The sequence below is a fragment of the Homo sapiens genome, chromosome 9 (genome assembly GCF_000001405.40).
Source record: "Homo sapiens chromosome 9, GRCh38.p14 Primary Assembly".
Taxonomy (NCBI): Eukaryota; Metazoa; Chordata; class Mammalia; order Primates; family Hominidae; genus Homo; species Homo sapiens.
This window is the reverse complement of record NC_000009.12, coordinates 111,006,147-111,031,995: the sequence shown is the minus strand read 5'-3', so window position 1 is coordinate 111,031,995 and position 25,849 is coordinate 111,006,147. Positions and strand designations below refer to the sequence as shown.

At 38.5% G+C, this 25,849-nt stretch overlaps 1 protein-coding gene across 74 annotated transcripts in view; it reads left to right on the top strand.

Annotated features, from left to right (window-relative positions):
* The window catches only part of LPAR1 (lysophosphatidic acid receptor 1), a 165,736-nt gene that overhangs the window by 7,003 nt on the left and 132,884 nt on the right, over positions 1–25,849 (top strand). For 16 of the 74 annotated variants that reach the window (NM_001351399.2, NM_001387474.1, NM_001351402.2 and 13 more), the window contains one exon: positions 20,306–20,448. The exons of 38 other annotated variants lie outside the window; for them this stretch is intronic. The gene's annotated coding sequence lies outside the window, so the exon portion shown is untranslated. Of the gene's footprint in view, positions 1–20,305; positions 20,449–22,794; positions 22,849–25,849 lie in introns of all 74 variants that reach the window. 20 more of the 74 variants (NM_001351398.2, NM_001387473.1, NM_001351400.2 and 17 more) reach the window with 2 other exon arrangements.

Genomic DNA, 25,849 nt, shown 5'->3' with positions numbered 1-25,849 from the left:
CTCTATCATATGACATTAGTAAGAGAAGTTCTTTTAGAATGCCTTCAAACTCAGGCATATGTATCTTGTTATTCTTCCATTTTAGGAACATTTTCTCCAAGGTAGTCTCAATACTTTGAGGTGAGTTGGCCTTTCCCTTTTAAGGAAGGAGACCACAGAGCCCGGTAATCTCCTTTTCATTTTATATGCTTGAAATATTTTGCTAGGATTTATCTGTTTTAAAGTCTAGAGATAGACATAGCTGTGTTTTATCTGTAGCCCTGCCTTGCTTCCATCTCATTTTCCCTATTCTTACTTTTAACCCAACTTGTGTTTGAGATTCTTTGCTCAGTATATAGTTTGCTTTCTAGAATAATTCAAACCTAGTGCCTGTAGAAAGTCAGACTTATTTTTTATTTATTTGAGATAGGGTCTTGGAGTGCAGTGGCATAATCCTGGCTCACGGCAGCTTTGACCTCCTGGGCTCAAGCTATTCTCCCACTACAGCCTTCCAAGTAGCTGGGACCGCAGGTGTGTGCCGCTATGCCTGGCTATTTTTTTTCTTTTTCTTTCTTTCTTCTTCTTTCTTTTTCTTTTCTTTTTTTTTTTCTTTTTTTTTTTTTAAAGAAATGGGCTCTCACTACATTACCCAGGCTGTTCTCAAACTCCTGGGCTCAAGGGATCCTCTCACCTTGGCCTCCCAAAGTGTTGGGATGACAGCTGTGAGCCACCGCATCTGGCTAATACTTATTTTGAAGTCACCCTGTCATGGTGCTTTGCTTCACTAATGTATTTCACTTATGATCTTGAAGTCACTCAGGGATACAAACACAATAAAATGCATCCCAACCAGGAGAGGGTAGCTGCATTCATTTACAAAATTTTTTTTTGCAATGATTCAAACACTATAGATGTGTCTAAAGTAAATGTAAAAATCTCTCTCTGCCACTTTAACCTTACCCATCTGATATCAGTTTGTTCCATAGCCTTCCATAGTTGTCCTTTTACTTATACAAACCTACAAAAATTAATATTTATGTATATTTATGTGTGTGTGGGATAAGTGTGGATATGTTTATACATACTCATATGTATGTTTGTGTGTGTATCTGTCTGTGCCTGCCTCCATTTTCTTTTGCTTTAGAGAGGCTATACTTGAGGCTGCCATCAAGAGTGAGAAGTTTGAAGCTGGAAGAGCCTGCATGGGCCCTTCTTGAACTGGTGCAGCATGTGCAGCATGACATCACTCAAGAGTTCTTGTCAGAGTGATAATGAATGTCTGGCTATTGTAAACGGGAATAAGAAAACTATTTCCAGCTGTGTGACAACCAAGACGACAAAAAGCATTGCAGAGAATATTATTGCCACAAGGACCCTGCTTCATCTGGGTCTCAGACGACGGGAGGAGGGGCATTTTGGAGCACGTGTTTGGCATCTGTGAACCTTTTGTTAGGTAGAAAACAAGGCCTGAATGAAAGGCCTTTCAACCACTTCTGGAGCAGAGAAGATAGGTAGAGTTACTCATTATAGGCAGGTTTCATTGTAGGAGTATTCAGTGAGGACCCCCGCCTTGGAAGTCTGTAATCAGCAGATGATAAGGATGGTGTGTTCTTACTAAGAGAATAACACAACTGAAACAGAATTGCCTTTTGTTAAGGGGATGCTTTGCCTTCTTGGACTACGATTGTGGGGAGAAGGATTATTGTCAACTAAGTGAGGCATTCATTCTGTACCCACTATTTATTGTAGTTCCACAGAGAACTGCTTGCTTTACTTTCTGACTAGGCACAGAAAAGTAAAGGTTCAAAGGCTAGGGCAAGATGACTGACTTTTCCAGATTTAGCACAATCTGTTCTCTGGTCACTTTGAGACGCTGTCAGTTTAGTTTCATGCAGCTGATATCTTGGAGAACTTCTGTGTCCTTACGTTTGGCTGAGGACACTAAATTTTTTTTTTTTTTTTTTTTTTTTTGAGGCAGAGCCTCACTTTATTGCCCAGGCTGGAGTGCAATGGCACGATCTTGGCTCACTGCCTCCTGGGTTCAAGCAATTCTCTTGCCTCAGCCTTCCAAGTAGCTGGGACCACAGGCGTGCACCACCATGCCTGGCTAATTTTTTTTGTATTTTTTGGTAGAGATGGGGTTTCACTGTGTTGGCCAGGCTGGTCTTGAACTCCTGGCCTCAAGTGAACCACCCGCCTCGGCCTCTCAAAGTGCTGGGTTTACAGGCCCAAGCCACCGTGCCTGGCCTGAGGACACTAAAATTAAAAAAAAATTAAGAAAGTACGGTCCCCGCTCTTGAGTAGCTCATGAACATGGAGCGATATGGACTCAAATGATTAAGATCAGGTAGGTAGTGATGAATACGGTAAACCAAGTTTCAAACAAAGAGCTGTCTGCATATCTGAGGATGGAGAGGGTAAGTCAGCCTTAGAGGAGGGAAATGACTTGCAGCAGGATGCCAGCCTCAATGGTCTGTGGAGCTCATTCCATGCAGAAGAGTAATGAGGAAGACCCAGTGAGTGACAGGCTTGGGGAGGAGTGCCTGAAATTGACGGTTTGTGGCAGGAAGTGGTGGGACCAATCTCGAAGCTTGTGGAGGTAGAAGGGTACTGGAGACTACTGTGGACAAAAAAGGGCATGTTGATGCCATTACCAGACAGGACACGAGAGCATGATGATTGTTGCAGTGAGGCTTGTTAGTTTTAGACATGTCTAAAACCATGCAGGCAGAGATTTTCAGCTGGTGGCTGGCAATTTGAGTTTGAAGTTTAGCTGAGAAGTCAGTTGGCAGTATTCAGGCATAATTGCTAAATGTAGAAGTAAATGCCAGTAAAATGTGTGTGATAAGCTGGAGAGCACTTTTAGAGTGAAAAGATTGATATATTTTAACAAGGACAAGGCTTATTTCAATTCTTTAGGTTATTTTTCTTTAGCAGATTAAAGTAGTTTTATCGGTTATCAAGCATTTGTTGAGCGTTTACTATGGCTTCTCTTGATAGGTGGTCCTGGGGAGATAGGAAGGAAATGGTGCAAATTTCAACAATACCCACTGGGGTGAACAAAAAATCCCTGAAACACCCCATTCCAGCTATTGTTATCTGGAAAAAAATCCTTACAATAATTAGATGGTGATTTGACGTCTGGGGGAAGTTGCAGATATAGTTTTAATTTACTGTAGGACTAGTGGCAGTGAGTCTCATATTGCTGTCATATAAAAGGTAAACCTTCCAGAAGAACTTTGGAAATTTCAGTAGCCTAAAGACCACGCTTTGAGAAACTCGTAAAGGTTTGTCATAGAGGTTTTAAAAGTCTGATCAAATAATTTTAAGCTTTAGTTGCCTACTAAAAAGTAGGATGCAGTACAAGTTTGTCCTTTACTTGGTAAAAAAAAAAAAAAGTCTTTTTCTAATTAAGAATTTATTTTCACCTTAGATAATTTTATTGGCATGCCTTTTTGCATGCAAGATAGAAAAAAGACAAGTTTATTCTTAGTTTTCTTTTTTCTAAGCCATTATGATTCTTTTAAATTATACTCATTTCAATTTGATAGGAAAAAACAGTATATGCTCATTTTAAAATATGTGGAATGTACAGGGATTCATGTGTAGTTCCATCACTTAAGATTGACTTTCTTGCTAGGCATGGTGGCTCATGCTGGAAATCCCATCACTTTGGGAGGCCAAGGTGGGCAGATCACTTGAGGTCAGGAGTTCAAGACCAGCCTGGCCAACATGATAAAACCCTGTCTCTACTAAAAATACAAAAATTAGCTGGATGTGCTCTCTTGAACCCAGGAGGCTAAGGTTGCAGTGAGCAGAGTTTGTGCCACTGCACTCCAGCCTGGGTGACAGAGTGAGATTCTGCCTCAAAAAAAAAAAAAAAATTCTTATTCCATTTTGGGATAATTTCTTGCAGTTTTAAAAATATTTGCTTTTACGGAATATTTAACAGCATTCTCCTTTGTATCATAAGTATGTACACAGGCCATTAAAATCTTTCATTTTTAATTTCTAATGACTACATATTAGTCACACTATTTAATGTGTGTGTGACTGATTAAACATACCTAATTATGTTTAGTCATTCCCTTTCTCCGCTTGCTTCTTTTTTTTTTTTTTTTTTTTTTTTTTGAGGACTTGTGCTTCTCTGCCCATATTTCAGTGTTGATGTTCCCAGAGTTCTATCCTTACTCTAAATGATCTCCATTTTTGAGCTTATCCACACAGTGGACTGTGGTTTCCTGGTCTTTGTCCTTCTGCCTAGGATGTTCTTTCCTAGGTATCCACATGCCTGCTCTCATTATTTTCATGTCTTAACTCAAAGGTCAACTTTGAGTTAAGGCTTTCTATCACTACATTTAAAATTGTGTGACCTTTCCTGTCTACCCAGCTTGCCTGATATTTTCTTCTCCATTGCACTTTTCTTCTGACTTCTTAGATGAGGACAGGACTTAAAAAAAATTGTATTTTTATTTTCTGCTGTTTCCCCAAAATATTTTTCTTGTTTTGTTTCTTAAAGACCATGTCTTGTTCTGTCACCCAGGCTGGAGTTCAGTTGCTCAGTCATAGCTCACTGTGGCCTCAAACTCCTGGGCTCAAACCATCCTCTTGCTTCAGCTTCCTGAGTAGCTGGGACTGTGAGCACATGCCACCATGTTTGGTTATTTATTTATTTATTTATTTATTTTTTGGGTAGAGACAGGGTCTTGCTTTATTACCCAGGCTAGTCTTGAACTCTCACCTTGACTTCCCAAACTGTTGGGATTGCAGGCATGAACGCCGCACCTGGCCTGTTGATTTGGGGTGGAGCGTTCTGAAATTGAGGCAGTAATTAATAGCCTACCAACCAAAAAAAGCCCAGGACCAGACAGATTCACAACTGCATTCCACCAAAGTTACAAAGAGGAGCTGGTACCATTCCTTCTGAAACTATTCCAAATAATAGAAAAAGAGGGACTCCTCCCTAGTCCATTTTATGAGGCCAGCATCATCCTGATACTAAAACCTGGCAGAGACACAACAAAAAAAGAAAATTTCAGGCCAATATCCCTGATGAACATTGATGCGAAAATCCTCAATAAAATACTGGCAAACTGAATCCAGCAGCACATTAAAAAGCTTATCCACCACAATCAAGTTGGCTTCATCCCTGGGATGCAAAGCAGGTTCGGTGTATACAAATCAATAAACGTAATCCATCGCATAAACAGAACCAATGACAAAAACCACATGATTATCTCAATAGATGCAGAAAAGGCCTTCAATAAAATTCAACACCCTTTCATGCTAAAAACACTCAATAAACTAGGTATTGATGGAACATATCTCAAGATAATAAGAGCTATTTATGACAGACCCACAGCCAATATCATACTGAATGGGTAAAAGCTGGAAGCATTCCCTTTGAAAACTGGCACAAAACAAGGATGCCCTCTTTCACCACTCCTATTCGACATAGTATTGAAAGTTCTGGCCAGGGCAATCAGGCAAGAGATAAAAATAAAGGATATTCATACAGGAAGAGAGGAAGTCAAATTGTCTCTGTTTGCAAATGACATGATTGTATATTTAGAAAACCCTGTCGTCTCAGCCAAAATCTCCTTAAGCTGATAAGCAACTTCAGCAAAGCCTCAGGATACAAAATCAATGTGCAAAAATCACAAGCATTCCTATACATCATTAATAGACGAACAGAGAGCCAAATCATAAATGAACTCCCATTCACAATTGCTACAAAGAGAATAAAATACTTAGGAATACAACTTACAAGGGATGTGAAGGATGTCTTCAAGGAGAACTACAAACCAGTGCTCAAGGAAACAAGAGACGACACAAATGAATGGAAAAATATTCCATGTTATGGATAGGAAGAATCAATATCATGAAAATGGCCCTACTGCCCAAAGTAGTTTATAGATTCAATGCTATTCCCATCAAGCTACCATTGACTTTCTTCACAGAATTAGAAAAAACTACTTCAAATTTCATATGGAACTAAAAAAGAGCCCGTATAGCCAAGACAGTCCTGAGCAAAAAGAACAAAGCTGGAGGCATCACACTACCTGACTTCAAACTATACTACAAGGCTATTACTGGTACCAAAACAGATATAAAGACCAATGGAACATAACAGAGGCCTCAGAAATAATACCACACATATACAACCATCTGATTTTTGACAAACCTGACAAAAACAAGCAATGGGGAAAGGATTTCCTATTTAATAAATGGTGTTGGGAAAACTGGCTAGCCATATGTAGAAAAGTGAAACTGGACCCCTTCCTTACACCTTATACAAAAATTAACTGAAGGTGGATTAAAGATTTAAATGTAAGAACTAAAACCATAAAAACCCTAAAAGAAAACCCAAGCAATACCATTCAGGACACAGGCATGGGCAAAGACTTCATGACTAAAACACCAAAAGTGATTGCAACCAAAGCCAAAATTGACAAGTGGGATCTAATTAAACTAAAGAGCTTCTGCACAGCAAAAGAAACTATCATCAGAGTGAACAGGCAACCTACAGAGTGGGAGAAAATGTTTGCAATCTATTCATCTGACAAAGGGCTAATATCCAGAATCTACAAGGAGCTTAAAACAAATTTACAAGAAAAAAAGAACTCCATCAAAACGTGGGCGAAGGATATGAACAGACACTTTTCAAAAGAAGACATTTATGCAGCCAACAGACTTATGAAAAAAAGCTCATCATCACTGGTCATTAGAGAAATACAAATCAAACCACAATGAGCTACCATCTCACACCAGTTAGAATGGCAATCATTAAAAAGTCAGGAATCAACAGATGCTGGAGAGGATGTGGAGAAATAGGAATGCTTTTATACTGTTGGTGGGAGTGTAAATTAGTTCAACCATTGTGGAAGACAGTGTGGTGATTCTTCAAGGATCTAGAACCAGAAATACCATTTGACCCAGCCATCCCATTACTGGGTATATATCCAAAGGATTATAAATCATTCTACTATAAAGACACATGCACACGTATGTTTATTGCAGCACTATTTACAATAGCAAAGACTTGAAACCAACCCAAATGCCCATCAATGATAGACTGGATAAAGAAAATGTGGCACATATACACTGTGGAATACTATGCAGCCATAAAAAAGGTGAGTTCATGTCCTTTGTGGGGACTTGGATGAAGCTGGAAACCATCATTCTCAGCAAACTAACACAAGAACAGAAAACCTAACACTGCATGTTCTCACTCATAAGTGGGAGTTGAACAATGAGAACATATGGGCACAGGGAGGGGAACATCACCCACTGGGACCTGTTGGGGGGTGGGGGACAAGGGGAGGGATAACATTAGGAGAAATACCTAATGTAGATGGCGAGTTTATGGGTGCAGCAAACCACCATGGCACATTTATACCTGTGTAACAAACCTGCACATGTATCCCAGAACTTAAAGTGTGTGTGTATATATATGTGTGTGTATATATATACACACACACACACTCCCATATATATAAATATATATAATTATGTATATATAAATATATAAAAATATGTATGTATATATAATTATGTATATATAAAAATATATAAAAATTATATATGTATATATAAATATATATATAAATATGTGTGTGTGTATATATATAAAAATATGTATATATATGATGCCCAGCACACTGAATGTATTAGCTGCCATTTTCATTATCTTCATTGGTAAGTTGAATCATATGAGATTGCTGGTATTTGACTGCTCTTGACCTATAAAATGGTAGTTTTGTACGGTTCAGTCTAATATTACGCCCTTCAGATTTATCTGGCCAGTTGCATCTTCTGCATTTCCTGAGTTCAACTCAGGATTTTTTTCTACATTTGTTAGAGAATCTATCTTGTTGAAGTTCAAAAGGTGTGGTATGCATTGTGCATATGGTCCAAGAACATGCTTCTTACCCATTTTTTGTACTATGTAGTTAGTGGAAATAATGCCTTGACTTTGGCTGCTTTTTCCTCGTATATTTTTAGTGCTATTGCCAATTTTTGTCTTTGTGTGCACCTTCTTGAGCATTTTAACTGGAAATTGTGATGAGTTTTATTGGGACATTTAGTTCAGTGGCTTTCAAACTTTTTAGTCATGACCCATAGTTAGAAATGTTTGTCCATACATTTGAATGAGACATTAGTTGTATATAGTTTACTACACATAGTAAACTCTGACATTTTCTTTTCTATTTTTTCCTATGATAATTTGTTCATTTTCATTTTAAAAAGTACTGGTTATAACTCATACATTTTGAAAACACTTATCTAGTCATGAACTGCAGTTTGAAAGACACTGATCTAGTCTGTTGCTGTGCTGTCTAAAATCAGGTTCATTCATTTTTCAACATCCATTTGTTAAATACAGTATCGGTTATTTTGCTAGTAGCTGGGAATAGAGTGATGAGTAAAGCAGTCGTTATCACTGGTGGCATGAAGCATAGAGTCTAGTGGGATGGAGCATATGAACCAAAAAAAAAAACATCCAAATGTATAAATACTCTGCATGATAAATTCTGTGGGGGAAAAGAGCAAAAGCGATTAAATGGGGAACCTCATCTGACTTTGGGGGTGATTCAGGATTTCCCTGGGGAACTGACATTTGGTTAGGTCTGCAGATGAGAATGTGTTAACTCTGTGAAGGACTGAGCAGGGGTGTGTGCGTGGGATTGCAGAGTCATGGAAGAAATAGTAACAGAAGCAAAATAGAAAACCGGAAGGGAAAGACAGGTGGAAGGCAATCTTCTTTGATGAGTTGGCATTTTTTGTGATACTTAGTAGGCCTTCCTGTTTGTGGCTTTTTTTTCTTACTTGACAAAAGTCAAATAGGAATGTCAAGGATTTTTTGGGGGAGATGGGTGTTGGTGTTTGTTGAAGTAGTTTTGTATTAGAGCAATATAGTATATTGCTAAATAGCAGGGTTTTTTTTTTTTTTTTTTTTTTTTGTTGAGACGGAGTCTTGCTGTGTCACCCAGGCTGGAGTGCAGTGGCGCGATCTTGGCTCACTGCAAGCTCTGCTTGCCGGGCACGCCATTCTCCTGCCTCAGCCTCCTGAGTAGCTGGGACTACAGGCACCCGCCACCATGCCCGGCTAATTTTTTTTTGCATTTTTAGTAGAGACAGGGTTTTACCGTGTTAGCCAGGATGGTCTCGATCTCCTGACCTCGTAATCCGCCCGCCTTGGCCTCCCAAAGTGCTGGGATTACAGACTTGAGCCACCGCGCCCGGCAATAGCAGGGTTTTTTGAAGGCTTGCTCTGTATGAGGAGCTGTACAAAGTTGTGTTCGATATGCAGGAGAAATAGATTTGGTTGGATTAAAAAATACTTTTATATAATATAATTACCAATTTAGTAACTATGCATAATTTGTAAGAAATTATAACACTGAAGTTAAGTTTTTTGTAAGTGAAGATCAGATGGTTGGGTGAGTATTTCATTGCTTCTTGTTGATTTGAATATAATGGTAAGAATTATTACTGCACTAGGATTTTTGTTTTTTTTACCTTGGTAGGATTTTAGTGTTCATTCCCCCCACCCTCTTTTAAAACTGAAGAGTTTAAAAGAAAGATTTTAAATTAGAAGTCCATAAAGTAAGTTGGAGACCACGTGAGATGGGAGACCATGATTCAATTGCCAGTTCTTCCATTGCTGTGCATGATACCCTTGACAATACCCAACCTTTGAGGCCCTGGGAGCCTTGTCTTAAAATGGAGGACTTGAAATCAGTTTGCAAGAATCATTCTCCCAGTCCTATTATTAGTATTAAGTGCCTTTATGCTTTCTATTTTCAACTTTGCTCTGGCTGTTTAAAGACTTGGCACCCCACCATTTAACTAACCTAGTCCAACAAGCTCAGGCCAAACTTGGGAGAACTCCAGGTATTTGCATCTTTCTGTGTCTTTGTGGGGTCAGGCTCAGGTGGCACTAATTCCTTCACATTGGGCAACACTACTAATGCTTCTCATTACAACATGGAAGAATGGGTAAAGATTAGAATTCTCTTGAGACTTTTTTTTTTTTTTTTTTTTTTTTTTGTGACGGAGTCTCGCTCTGTCACCCAGGCTGGAGTGCGGTGGCGGGATCTCTGCTCACTGCAACCTCCACCTCCCGGGTGGTTCAAGCGATTCTCCTGCCTAAGCCTCTTGAGTAGCTGGGATTACAGGTGTCTGCCCCCACACTCAGCTAATTTTTGTATTTTTAGTAGAGACAGGGTTTCACCATGTTGGTCAGGCTGGTCTTGAACTCCTGACCTCAGGTGATCCACCCACCTGGGCCTCCCAAAGTGTTGGGATTACAGGCGTGAGCCACGGCAACTGGCCTAAATCTTTTAAGACTTTATATCATAGTTTGCAGTTTGACAACACTTGGAATTAATTTTTTTTATCCTTTCAGATTCAGCAAACATGGAAAAATATGATTATCTTATGTTTATATGCTGGATGCTTGCTTTGGAGAAATATGCAGCATCTAAGTTATATATATTCCACATTTTATAAAAACCCATTGGATGAGGGTGATATTATTTTAAAAAGATTTTAAAGGGCTAAGGAATCATATGGAAGATGAATTCAATTTTAATGACTACACCAAGTTTAAGGAATATTTTATAAGAAATGGGCTTATGTGAAAGAGAATTAAAGGTACTTGGCAATTCAGCTTATCTTTTCTTTTTCCTCCTAGCTTTATTGATGTATAATGACAAGCAAAACTGTATTTAAGTTCTACTTATGATGGTGATATACATATATACTGTGAAATGAGTACTATTAAGTATCGTCACCATGCTGTACGTTAGATCCCCAGAACTTACTCATAACTGGAAGTTTGTACCCTTTGACCAGCATCTTCCCTTTCCCCCATCAACTCAGCTTTTCTTACCAGTATATTAAATCATTTGATTCAAATACATTTCAACATTATTTTTTTGTAATTCAATATATTCAGTCTTTCAAGTTCATTTATTGTAACGTGAATATGTTATTACACTCGTTCTTATTTTTTGTTTAGAAATCGAGGGAAGAAAGATGAGATGCATGCTTTTTCTGTTTGTCTGAACTCTGCTGAATTCCTCATTCATAGTAAAATATTTACTCAGGAAGTCCAGGTAACTCTGGAGATTTTACTTAGTGTGTTTTGGTGCTGATTCATCAGTTGATTTTTTTAATTTGTTGTTAAATATCTTCTTAAGCTGATTATTATATGGAAACCAGCCAGGACTCCAGGCTCCTGATCTGAGACAAGGCAGGGGCAGGTCACACAGGCACAGGCAATGTTTGGCAATGTGTAGGTCCAAGTAGGTACTAGGCACAGGTGCTCAATGCTAGTACTAGAAACAGGTTGGGTGTGAAGGGGCTGGGGTCATGGGGTTAGGGTAGGTTCAAGGTAGACAAAGCCAGGAAGAGGCACAGAGCATGTAGATGCCTGGCCTAGAATTCCATAAAAGGCATTCTGGATAGCCCTAAGAGAGAAGTGGTGTAGACAAAAGTCTAAAGCTCCCAGGAGAAATTTATTTTCAGAGTTGGAAGCATCAGTTGAACTTCGCTGATTGTTCAAGGGAATCTCAACACTCAAGCAGGGGTTTAGTCACCATGACCTTGGGACAAAGTCCCAGCTTCTCTTCAAGTGTTTGGTCATCTTAAAGTAGAGGGCTTTGAAATCACAAATTCTCATCTGATTCAGGGATTAAGAACCTTGTTGAATACTATTTCTCTAGGAGCAGGAATTAGCTGAGGTCTCATGACTAAATGTATTCTTTCTACAAGAGATTTATTATAAAACATATTTAACATTTGCTATGGACTGGATTTTCTCCCTAATATTCATGTTGGAGCCCTAACCCCCAGTGTAGCTGTATTTGGAGATAAGGCTTTTAGGAGATAATTAGGATTAAATGAGATTATAAGTGTGGGGTCCTAATCTGATAGGATTGGTGGCCTTATGGGAAGAGGAAGAGAGAGATCTTTGTTTCTATACACATTCACCAAGGAAAGGCTGTGTGAGCAAACAGTGAAAAGACAGCTGTCTGCAAGCCAAAAGGAGAGCCCTCACCAGAAACCAACCATGCTGGCACCCTGTATTACATTTCTAGCCTCTAGAATTATGAGAAAATAAATTTTTTTCATTTAAGCCACCTAACGTATGGAACTTTTTTTTGAGACGGAGTCTCACTCTGTCGCCCAGGCTGATGTGCTGTGGCGTGATCTTGGCTCACTGCAATCTCCACCTCCCAGGTTCACGCCATTCTCCTGCCTCAGCCTCCTGAGTAGCTGGGACTACAGGTGCCCGCCACCAAGCCCGGCTAATTTTTTGTATGTTTTTTTTTTTAGTAGAGACGGGGTTTCACCATGTTAGCCAGGATGGTCTCGATCTCCTGTCCTTGTGATCTGCCCGCCTCGGCCTCCCAAGGAACTTTTTAATGGCAGCCTAAGCTAATACAACATTCCACTAATTTGGGTAGGGAATAAAAGTAACTCTGTCCAGTAGCCGTTCAGCAGAAAACACACACTATCATTTACCTGCCTAACTCTCTTCCTTTTTCCTTCTTCATCCCGTTTTAGTGGCAGAATGACTCAGTGAGTAAAAATGTTCCAGTGAACACATCTTAAAGTATTTAAAACTGTTCAACTTATTTAAAACCAATTGTTTTTATATGAAATACTGTTTATTATCTTTTAAAATATATCTCTATTATTATTATTTTTAATAGAGAAGGTGTCTTGCGATGTTGACCAGGCTGGTCTCGAACTCCTGGGCTCAAGCAATCTTCCCAAAGTGTTGGGATCAGAGGTGTGAGCCACCATACCTGGCCCTTAGTGTATTCTTAAAAACATTAAAAAAATTATTTTTGAAATCACATTATGGCAATATTTAAATAAACCCACTTGTATTTGCAGTTCCCTAATGAATGTATTTGTTATTTAGTCATGTTAGTTTTATGGCCTATTTCTATTATGTTCTATTTTATGGTCTACTTCTACCTAGAAGTAACAAATGTGTGTTTTTATTTCTACTGATTGTTTTTTAACACACTGTTATATAAGGCGATATAGTCTGAATCATATTTTTAATAGCCTGATAATAATCCATTAAGCTGTTAAACTGTTCATTCAACCATTGCCCTATTTTTACACAGTTTTATTTCCTTTGTACTTGCTGTTTTAAAAAGTATTGTACTCAACAACTTTTATGTAATTTCCGTAGACTGATTAAGAGTGAGATCACTGATTTGAAAGTAATATCATTTGGTTTCCAAGTAGATTTTAAAAGGTAGTTTAAAAACTTAACTTTCAAAAGTAACACCTGTTTGTGCTCATTTTAGAAAACAAAGAAAAATATAAAGAAGAAGAAGGAAAAAGTACCCATACTCCCCACCTAGAGATAGCCATTGTCAAGTTTATGGGATATTCCCTTTTAATATTTTCTCTGTAAATTTTATCTAGTTGGAATCCTACTGGGCATAATCAGTACTTTGTCCTTTCTCTTAATAGTATGCAGTAAATGGAAGTGATGTTAATTCCATTCAGCTACTGTTATAGTGAACTCACTTCAGTAAATATCTTTGCAAGCCTATTTTTGCATTTCAGGTAATTTCTTTAGAGTAGATTCCTGGTAATATAATTTGTTGCCTTAAAAGGCAGGGATGATTTTTATGGCTAGAGATAGAAATGATTAAATTGATTTCCAAAACAATGATAATGCTTCATACTCCTACCAGCAGAGTTTGAGAAAAACTTAAAGATGGAAATTAGTATAAGTGAAATGTGAAATGATTAGAGCAATGGGAAACTTTAATAATAATCTGTCCTGGATGACATTGACTAGACCTCATTGGTGGATGTTCTCTCCACTGTGGTCATGTCTTTCACTCATCCACAGTTTTGTCTTCTAACAGAGAACTTTATGTTTCAAGCTTCCCTTAGTTTTATGTCCTTTAATATGCTGTGAAAAAGTTTTTTTTTGTTTGTTTGTTTTGTTTTTTTTTAGACAGAGTCTTGCTCTGTCGCCAGGTTGGAGTGCAGTGGCGCCATCTCGGCTCACTGCAACCTCCACCTCCTGGGTTCAAGCAATTCTCCTGCCTCAGCCTCCCTAGTAGCTGGGACTACAGGCAGGCACCACCATGCCCAGTTGATTTTTGTATTTTTAGTAGAGATAGGTTTCACCATGTTGGCCAGGATGGTCTCAATCTCTTGATCTCGTGATCCGCCTGCCTCGGCCTCCCAAAGTGCTGAGATTATAGGCGTGAGCCACTGCGCCCAGCCAAGCTTTGTTTTTAACTGTATACACTGCATCAACTGATGGTAGGGTATTCCTGATGAGTATACTTCTGTGAAATAACTGGTTAACTACTAGAAAATGGAGCAAGTGCTCTAAAAATGAATAGCAAAGAATTAAAAACTAAATGGTAATTATACCTGTGCTGGTTTAGTGTGTATTTTGCATATTTACCCGCATAAGCTCAATTTTCTTCTAGATGCCATTGATATTACAGTCAGGGACCACTTTTGTGCCTTGGGGAAATAAAGTGAGCTTCCTTAGGAGGTAATAGATTTGCAATTTCACCCATTACTGGAAGTAGTCACATGTAATCCAATTAAATTTGATATCTCATTAGTGATGGAGGCCCACCTTCAAAAAACTCAGACTCGAGGGATGGGAACTGAATGAAGGTACCATGTGATAAATGCAATGTTATAAGTTAGTTGCATGTCTGTTTTCCTACTAAATATAGTGAAATTTAATAAGCATAGGAAGGAAATGGGGTAAGAGGAAGTGAGTGTGAATTTAAGCAGAGACCGAGACCAAGGGCCCACCTTAGGGTGCTATTCATGTATTAGAAAAGGGCCACGCATTTTGCTGTTCTTCCTCATAGTTGACATGAAGAGGGGACTCAATGAGCTGTGTTACCCAGAAAGCCCATGAAGATAAGGACTAACCAGGGGGGACAACTCTTCATGTGCTGGGAGGAGAACTCTTCATGTGCTGGGAGGAGAGAGGATTTTATCCATGGTTCTCCAAACGTTAGGTACTTTAATGTATTGAGTCGTGTCTCCAAATACAATCTTACAATGAATGTGACAATGGGGTTAAAAAAAACTGTATTGCTCAATATAGGTTAATGGCATAATGCCAATTGCTTATCTCAGAAAAGCCATTCTGTAAGAGCCAAAGCAAGACAGTTCAGACAAGCAGCTCACTGCTGGCTCTGTCCAAGCATAGACATTCCACATTCTTTGTGGAGTGCTGAATTAGATACTTTTCAGGATGTTTCCTATGAATATTACTTCATGCAAAAGGATATTTTTGATAAGAACTGAGTAGCAGTAAGTTCAAGGTTATTAAGCTCAATACTGCATCCTCTCTTTGTGGTCAGTTAAGTGTGGGTTCCTGTGCTTTAAGCATTGACTTGACTGAGAGTAGCATGAACAAAGATCAGCCTATGAGCACGGATTTTGTGGAGTCTTTTTACTTCAGGGAGTAGAAGGAAGAGAAATGAAGGCTCTGACAGTTGATGCCTTTGGCCAGAGTTTGCAAGACTGGAAGTCTATGTGCTAAATGAATTTGGCCCCACATACAGTTTATTTGTTCAGGTCAAGTTTCAAAAGTCAGCATAGACAGGTGGGCATTATGATTGTTCCTCGTGCAAGTGTAGTTTCTGTATCATGGAAGCTAAAGATCTGTTTTCATTGGCACTTCATGTATTTATGATACCTGGTTGGTCCCTGTGGGTATTTGTGCTTGTGACATTTGCTGGTATATGGTCACAGTGTAATGATGTATGTGTAAGTTCAGAAGCAGCATAGAGGAGGTGGTGATTAATCTGGGTGGGGAATAGGACCCATAAAAGGCTTCATTGAAAGGCTGTGACTGGAAAGATGAGTAGATATTTGCCAGGCATAGAATTTGGACAAGGGAGGGTATTCCAGGAAAAGCCAAGTGCATATGCAAAGACAGCTGTGTGGATTAGCATTATATGTTAGGGGATTTCTGAGTAGATCCAAAGTGCTGGGGCTTAACAAGCAAGGTGAATTATAGCCTAAGCCAGAAGTACCTGAAGGACTCAGTTTGCCGTGCATGAGGAGGCTGGCCTTGGGGCAATGGGGAACCATGGGAAGGTTTGAAACAGATCATTGCCATACTAGATTTCTGTTTTAGGAAGGTTATTCTCCAAACACCCAGGAGAAATAGTTGCAGGTAGAAGGGACTAGAATAGCTTTTTAAAAAAAGTTATTTATGAAAACATCTTTATTTTTCCTCCATTTCACTGACCTATATAATTTTTTATGGTGAGACGTTTGAAATTTACTCTTATTTTGAAATATACAATGCATTATTATTGACTCTAGCCACTCTGCTGTGCAGTGGATCTCAGAAAGAAGCTATTCCTCTTGTCTGTCTGAAACTTTGTGCCCTTTGATCAACAACTCCCTATCTCCCACCCCACTGTTCTTCATCCCTTGCCTCCAGCCTCTGGTGACCATCATTCTACCCTCTACTTCTTGGTTCAACTTTTTAAGATTCTACCTATAAGTTGAGATCGTATAGTACTGAGATATCTTAAGAGGGCTTGAGTTAAGGCAGTAACAGTGGGTTTGGAGGGAAGAAGGTAGATACGAAAGACATTTAGGAGGAAGAATTGATGCAACTTGGCTATTGAATAGATATGGTGGGTGAGGGAGGGGGAGGAGTGATAGTGAATGGATGACAATACCGTTGAATGAGACGAAGTAGGAGAGAGTAACAAGGACATGGGAAGTGTATTTATATTAGATTGCCAGGGCTGCCATGAAGTCCCACGGACTGGGTGGCTGAAACAACAAAAATTTATTTTCTCACAATTCTGGAGGCTGGAAGTCATAGAGAATTGTGAGGACTGTTTTCTTCTGAGGCCTCTCTCTTTGCCTTGCATGTGATGGTCTCCTCCCCGTGTCTTCATGTGGTTTTTCGTTTGTACCTGCCTGTGTCCAACTTTCTTCCTCTTATAAGGACCCTAGTCATATTGGATTAGGGCCCACTCTAATGACCTCATTCTAACTTAATTACCTCTTTATAGACCCTGGCTCCAAATGTGGTCACATTCTGAGGTACTGGGAGTTAGGACCTCAACATATGAATTTCTCGGGGGGACACAGTTTAGCCTAGAACAGGAAGGATGAAGAGTTTGGTACATGTTGAATTTGCAAACCCTATGGAGTATGTAGGGTGGTGGTGGTGGTTCTATAATGCATTTGGATGTGTGAGAACACAGCCCAGAAAAGAACTCCAGATTTGGTATTTAAAATCATGGGCATGGATAAAAATTGTCTTCACCAGTAATACCCAACCTTGGCTTATTTTAAGAACACCTGGGGGAGCTTTTGAAACATGCCATGTGCAGGGGGCTCACTTCAGGCCATGACTCAGTCTTTGAAAGAGAGGCCAGGGCAGACACCTGGTCATTCTAATGTGATCCAAGGTTGAGAGGATGGGTCTAGTGTTAAGTGTAGAGAAGAGATCCGAAAGAATGGCTCGGATCATTCAAGTGGTGGTTGGTAAGAGAGAGAGAAGGATGGGAAGGATGGGAGTTTGGGGGGCTTCTTGCCTGATGTTCATCAACTTCTCCATGATGGATGTGCAAACTGGGGAGTTCCTTTAGGGGATTTAAGGCTTGGAAGAGGCGCCGAGAGAAATGGCAGCACTGATGGCTTCTCTTTTTGGGCTCACCTGAGATTAGAATGCATTCATTAATAGTGACAGCTTTACCTTGTCCTTAAGTTTTCCCCACAAGGCCTCTGGAGGTTGTGAATGGGAGCAGAACAGGCAGTTTGGAGTTTAATCATGATTGTGGTGTCAAAGGGCAGATTGGCAGAAAGGAGCATGGGAGGTATCAGGCTGGTGTGAGGGGAGCCCAGAGGGCTGACTATGGTATTTAGGCTGGGCATTGTGAGAATTGACCTTGGATAGGGCTGGTGAACAGGAAAGAATGGAGGGAGCAGGAGGCTGGGTATTTTGGAGGGCTGAAATAATGTGTATGAGCACAAACAGCTGCATAGATGCATAGTTTCAGCTATAAAGGGGGATTTTGAAGTGTCACAGGCAATTCTGAATGATGAGGGGCTAAGTGGTATAGTCAATTCAGAAACTAACTTGAGAGGTCAGACTGTTGGGTGTGATGAAATTGCCCTTGATAATGACTTGCTTGATGATTGAGTTGTTTGCAAGAGGGAATGAAGGTTGGGGAAATTTACTAGATAACCTTTAAGGTTTCTTCCAGCCTCAGGATTTAACAAAATGTCATTGTTTTGTGTCACGGCTCCCTGATCACCCTTTTTTTCTTTTTCTTTTTGGAATCAGAATAGAGCAATCTGAAAAATGCCATCTAACAATCCCATTTTTATTGATCCCATTGTAATTGTAAATGTTTGACAGGTTATAGCCTCTTTAAATGCCCTTGGAATCCATTAACGCATGTTTCATAGAGTTCACACAGGGTAAAGTGGTACTTTGGTCAGAACATGGTTTGCTGAATGTCACTGATTTGTCTCTACCACACAGCTGGCTTCTGAGGCTTATAATGGGCAATTAGGACAGGAAGGAGTTACTTAAGTTCTTTTTAAGGTAACATTAATTAGATTCATCTCTTACCACATGGTGAGGGTCATGGTTATTACATTTACCATTTTGGGTTTGGTGTTTAACCTCTTTATTGTGGATTGGTTGGTCCTGGACATTTTCAGATTTAGTTTTGTGGTAGGATGTTTTGTCTGTAGTTTGCGTGTGTATTTAGAACTGGAATGAAGTGTACTTTTTAAAACTACGACCCCAACAGCAAAAAGGATTTTACAAGCACTTTTGGCCTTCATTGTTAGAGTGTCTTCTTGTTCTATGAGGAAATAAATTTGATCCTTATCCTGGAATTAAAAAAAATCCTTGAATGTATTTTTTGTTGTTCTTGTTGCAGCAAATGCAGATATCAGCGATTTTCATGACGAGTTTGCTTATTTAGGGGAGAACATTTTCTAAATCACGTAAAGCTTAACATTAACAGAAGAAAATTTGAAAATTAAAATTTTAAGAGTGAAATTCTAGACCTTTCACAAAGTTACAGGCTGAATCCAGCTGGTCTGTCCTGTCCAGTCACAGGAATTCCCGCTTACTATTAAACGAAATTTTCCTTCCTTCTTCCTCTCCTTTCTCTTTCCTTGCCTTTTCCTCTCCTCTCTTCTGGCATATTTCTCTCAATTGAACAGTTTCTTAGTTTTTTACCACCAACCTCAAAGGATCAAGTGTGAATGAAGTAATTGCTTTATTTTAGGCTCTTTATTTTGCCCCATCAGCCCCATTTAAAACTCTGTCTCATCCTCCTACCACATCCCAGATATTGTTTTCTTCTTTAGGGGACAAGCTTGGACTGGAACTGAAAGATGTGATTACCAGGGTCTTGTTCTAATCCTAGCTTTACCATCAACTGAGACCAACCCAGATTCAATTCTGCTTTTGTGGACTACCAGGATACTGAGTGTGTATGTGTGTGTGTGTGTGTGTGTGTGTGCGCGCGTGCGTACATGCATGTGTGTGTTTGTGTTTGTTAAAACAATAACAATTCGGCAAGCATAGGATAAGGCATTGGTTTTCACTGTTTACTGTCATCAGAAATGCCAGAGATGTGTATTTAAATGCAGAGTTTTCAGCCTGCTCACAGTGTTCACAATTCAGATAATTTGGGAAGGATCCAGGACTCTGCATTTTTTGTTTGTTTGTTTGTTTGTTTGAGACAGGGTTTTGCTCTATTGTCCAGGCTGGAGTGCAGTGGCATGATAACTGCTCATTGCAGCCTTGAACTCCTAGGCTCAAGCAATTCTCTTACCTCAGCTACCTGAGTAGTTGGGACCACAGATGTGCACCACCATGCCTGGCTAATTTAAAAATTTTTTTGTAGAGACAGGGTCTCGCTATGTTGTCCAGCCTGGTCTTGAACACCTGGGCTCAAGTGATCTTTCTGCCTTGGCCTCTCAAAGTGTTGGAATAACAGGCATGAGCCATTGTGCCTAGCTGAGACTCTGCATTTTTAACAGACAACTGGTGGGCCACATGTTCTTTGAGAAACAGTGGATTTGGGGACTTTAGTTATTATTATTTTCCATCTCACGGTAGCAGCATTTTTCAAAGTTGGGCCAATTTGAAATGACTGTTTTATCAAACTGTAGACATTTTGTTTTCATTATAATGTGCTCTCTAAACACCTCATATCCAAACATTAAGAACAAGTGGGCTTCATCATATTCTGGACTGGTCAGAACTAGCCAGCAAGGGTACTATATTGTGTTTTAGGTGTCATCCTTGAAGGATAGAATAAATCAGCTGTCGTGTTCTCAGTGAAAAGTGGAAAGAAGTTTTAAAGGATCTGCAAAATAGAATTATGAGACAGAGGAAAGAAAGAAACAGACAATCTGATCTCTATCTTCATCGGCCAGGTAAGATTTGAAGTGTTTAAAGAACGGGATTCAGTTTGGTTACAAAAGAGTAGCTGGGTCCCAGGGATGGGTTTTTCAGTTAGGATAATCTGAACTACATTTGAGAGAGAATTTCTAGCAAACTGCCTGTCCAAGGATCTCATGGCTGGCCTTGGAAGGTAGTGAGCTTCCCGTTATTGGAAGTGTTCCAGCAGACATAGAGAATAGATTCTGCAGTGACTAAAGGATTGGATAAGATGTAGAACTAGACCTCAGAAGTTTTCTTCCAATGATGAGATGCTATAAATTTTATGAACAACATACTTAAAATAGCTTTAAGACACTCTACACGAATTCGAGGCTGAAATAAGACTAGTTAAACTATAATCAGTCAATTGATTATTAAAACCAAGCACAGACTTACACCCACTACATACACTTATGCTCACAAATGATAAATGCCAGGATAGTTTGGATTGCCTTTGAAGTTTATTATTTGCAGGTGTAGAAGCTCTTAAGTTTTAGTTTGTAGTGTTTCTAAAAGTGAGGCATTCTCTTGAACTGTCTTTGATGATTTGATGTTCATACATTATGTCTGCTGTGAATTTGGAAAGCACTGCAGAATCACTTTTTCAAAGATCAGAGGAATGTGGGATAGAATAAATTAAGTTTCTGGCTAATATTTGGTATTCTTCTTTAGGGATATGCTTTCAGAGATCTGTTTCTGGAAGGAGAAGGGAAGTCATGACATTTTATGTGAACTCAACTGGGCAATGTGAGGTTTTCCTATCATTAGCTAATAATATACATTTAAAGTCACATGGAAGTGTGTTGCCTGTGATCTGAATTTTTATTCCTAAATAAATTAGAGATTAAAATCTGTGGTTTCCAGTTCAAGGGTAGGGTACCAAAAAAAATTGTCTGATGTGGGTTTTTATGTCATTAAGAAAGGCGGCAACAGCTAAGTATTATTGGCTTTTCCCTTTTCTTGGTTGCACTGGTCCTTTTCCCTTATCTTGAAAGGCGGTAGTAAATGTTGACTTTTTGCCTCTAATTCACCTCAATGATTGTACATTTTAACATGTTTTAAGATAGGTGGTTTTAGCCCCTACCTTATTTTCCTGGTCTCTTGCTTCCACTGCTCTGGTTCCCAAGAATCAAAATTGAGGCCAGATGTATGTTAACATCAAGAAACTCTGACTGGCGCTCTTGTTCTCTCCCTCCCCAGATATTAATGCAAGAAGGGAACTAGGACACCAGGAACAGCCACTGTTAACATTCTCCTATAATTTCTGCCTGTTATTCCTCTGCAAGACCTTTATGAGAGCTGAATGTATTTTTGTTCTGTGTTTTAAAATTTTAACATTTAAAGGCAGTGCTTTCCTGTCACATTGTAAGTCTCTGAAAACATTGTATATAAATATATAGATATATTGCATATTTGTTTTCAATTTTAAAGTGGGATTTTCTTGCACAAAGGTTTGTATACAATTCTATGGCCAACTGACCTATCTATGTATCCATATATATATATATATATATATATATATATATATATATATATATATATTTTCCTAATTATGAAATGAGAAATGAAAATATGTAAAGTGTAAACTATATAAACAACAAAAACAAATGAGAATTTGTAAAATATAAAAATCATAGTAACTTAGCATCCATAATAAAATCTCTATTAGTGTTTGTAAGTACCAAGTCTTTTCCCCTCCATATTTAGACATATAATTTATTCAATTATTGATTAGAAATTATAGGTAAAAATCATCCAAATCATGCAAATTCTGAAAAACTAGAAATAGCAGCTGTTAACAGTATTGGTATATGTCCCTTCATATACTCAAATACATATATATATGCCCAGTATTATTTTCTATTAATTTTTAAATAACTTTTTTTACTATAAAAGTGATTCATATATAATTCAGAACCCCTGGAAAATATAAAAATGTAAACAAAAAATGGACTGAAATATTTCCACTCAAACATAAACCAATCATTTTTACCAATTCTTCCAAATATGTACACTTATGTCTGTAAACCCCACACTTTTCAAAAAATAAAAATGACACAAGTATATATTGCTTTGTGGCTTTTTAAAAAATATTTAGGAATGTATCAAACATTTTTGTGTTAATAAATGCTCAATAAAATTTGTTTTGGTATGAATTTTTTTTTTTAAATCTCATTCCTGACTCTAAACCTCACTTTGAGATTTCCCATCTGTGCCTCTGTGTAATTCGTTTGTAGTGATGGTCCACTTTACTAATTATCTCTTCAGTTGCACTTAATCAGCTGTATTACTCACCTACTGAATATCTAATTTGAAATACTGTGTTTTTATATTTCTAGGAACCCTGTTTCTATTTTTATTTTAGGAACCCTGTTTACATCTTCTTAAAAGTTGTAAGTCATTTTTAATATATTATCCTTTAATATGTCCTCTTTTACTTTTAAACTTATTAAACATTTTTATTTTATAGTCTGTATTGGATAATCCCAGTATCTGTAGACTTTGTAAGTCTGCTTCGACTGTTTGTTCTTTTTGATGACTCTTGTAAATGTTGACTTGTTTCTGTATGTGCTTTGCGATCCCACCCCACTCCCCATTCTCCCAATGTAAGCTCATGTTTCTAGGAACTTTTTCTCTGGGAATTCTTTGAGAGCTTAAGGTGAATCAGTTCAGAAAGAATTTGTGTTTTCTTCTGTTTGATGCATTAAAGGCACTCTCAACCCATGTCCACATCAGGTTGAATTATTAGCTTGAGGTTTTTGGGTGGCTACACCAGCAGTAGGAATTCAGGTCATCCCCAGTTTATTAAGGGCAAGTGTCCGGATATAAATTCTCAGGGGCGACTCTTTCCTACCTAGATCCATGTAGATCCATGTGTGAGACAGTCACATTTTCTGACCCTCTCCCTGTGTGACTTGGGTCAGTATTTTTTCTATTAGTTCAGCTGTTAAGGGTAGGATGTCCCAGCTTTTTGCAGAGGTCTTTGATCTGACTTCCATTTTTCACTTGATTTCTGCTTTTAAAAGCCAAAACTCAAGGTCACCTGGGATTATTGGGATATAATCGGCTGACAGACTCCCTAGTTTATTATTGTTATTTTTTTCTTTTCCGAGTTGATTTCTTGATTACTTTTGCTTCTTGGGAGATTCATGACTTTTGCCAACTTGGGTAAACATTTACAGAGGTGGAGGTGTGTGCTTATGTATGCATACACACACAGCAGTTTTACATGTTTTTGTGCTAGAAGAGTTTTCACTGTATTTTGCTCTTAGTATTCTGGGAAAAGACGTCTATAGTGTGACTTTTAAAATAGCAGGACATATTTTGTCCTTCAAATATATTGTTATTAATAAGATTTTTTTTTTTTGAGATGGAGTCTTGTTCTATTGCCCAGGTTGGAGTGCAGTGGCACAATCTTGGCTCACTGCAACCTCCACCTCCCAGGTTCAAGTGATTCTCCTGTCTTAGCCTACCGAGTAGCTGGGATTACAGGTGCCCACGACCACACCGAGCTAATTTTTGTATTTTTAGTAGAGATGGGGTTTCACCATGTTGGCCATGCTGGTCTTGAACTCCTGACCTCAGGTGATCTGCCTGCCTTGGCCTCCCAAAATGCTGGGATTACAGGTGTGAGCCACCGCGCTCGGCATCTTAAATTAATACCACTTCTCGAAACCTTAGGGTTGCTTTCAATTTCCCGGATATAGTTTTGTAATGATTGTCTTCAATAGGTATGTTAGCACAGATTGCTGTTTCTTTTCCAATGATAAACATCTTGAAGTAGGATTGCTAGGTCAAAGGGTGTGTTTGTCTGGCTTTTGATACATATTGCCAAAATCATCCTTCAGGGACAGGATGAGATTTTTCCATACTGAAACCCCTGATCACAGTGCTCGAAAGTGCAGCAACTTCATTAAACTGAATATTATAAATTTAGAAAGATTATCAATGTGTTGGGGGCAATGGCATTTTATTTTTAAAATTAGATTATTTAATCACTTTAAGTTAGGCACAATTTTTTCTTATGCTCATCGATCATTTGTATTTCATAAATTTCTTGTGGATGTTTATCAACCATTTTTCTATTGGGATGCTCATCTAAAAATTTACTTGTTTAAGCTATATATTTAATACATATAATTTTCGTTTTTAAACTTTAAGAATGTTAACAGTTTATGATGTGATATAAAGCATTTTTTCAAATATGCATTTGTTTAATATAATGAAGCTTTGAATGTTTAGGTAGTGCATTAGGCCATTTTTATACTGCTGTAAAGAAATACCTAAGACTGGGTAATTTATAAAGAAAAGAAATTTAATTGGCTCACAATTCTGCGGGCTCTACAGGAAGCATGGTGCTGGCATCTGCTCGGCTTCTGGGGAGGCCTCACAAAATTTACAGTCATGGCAGTAGGTGAAGGGGGAGGAGGCACCTCATGTGGTGAAAACAGGAGCAAACAAGCACCACTGAAAGAGAGAGAGAAAGGGAGAGAAGGAGTGAGTTAGTTGGGGTGAGGTGACACATACTTTTAAATGACAATATCTTGAGAGAACTCAGATCACTTACCACCAAGAGAATGTTCCAGAACCATTCATGAGGGATCTGTCCCCATGATCCAAACACCTCCCATCAGGCCCCAGGTATAACACTGGGGATTACATTTCAATGTGAGATTTGGTTGGAGACAAATATCCAAACTATTTTAGGTAGTTACCTTTATCAGTCTTTTCTTTGGCCTTATGCTAAAATAGCCTCCTCTCAATCTGTGACTATATAAACATTCTACTGTATTTTCTTCTAGATCTCTTAAGGCTTTATTTTTCATACTCAATTCTAATGCATAAACATTTGTTTATGTGCTATAAAGATTTATACCTTATACCCCTGTGAATTTATTTGAGTTGGCTTGCCTGTGTACCTATTTGGAGGTGTGATTTGGATCAACCCAAATTATTTGGGATTTTTTTTGTGTGTTGAGTCTGTAACTTTTGAATATGTAATTACCATGGCATGGAATTGGTAATATAGATGTTTGCACAGGCAATGGTGAACTCCAAATTCATGATGGAACAAGCAGGTGCGTGTGTTAAGGAAGAAGGAATAAGTTAAAGGATGTGCCAAGACAGAAAGTTAATTATAATGCTTAACCTTTAGGGATCATTTCCCCAACATTTTGTATGTTTCTTTTTCTTCCTAATGGCCATTGGGAATGGAATGTGTGGGATTGACTAGGAAGGCTCTTGCATCATCAGGATTTTCAGTGACTTGAGAAAGCTGGGAAGATTATATTACCAGCACTTTGTGTCTTGTGTACAGCCTTTTGCATGCATGCATGAATGAAGAAAATCATTTGACAGGAAATAGTTGTGTTAGAATACTTGTGCTTTTGGGCA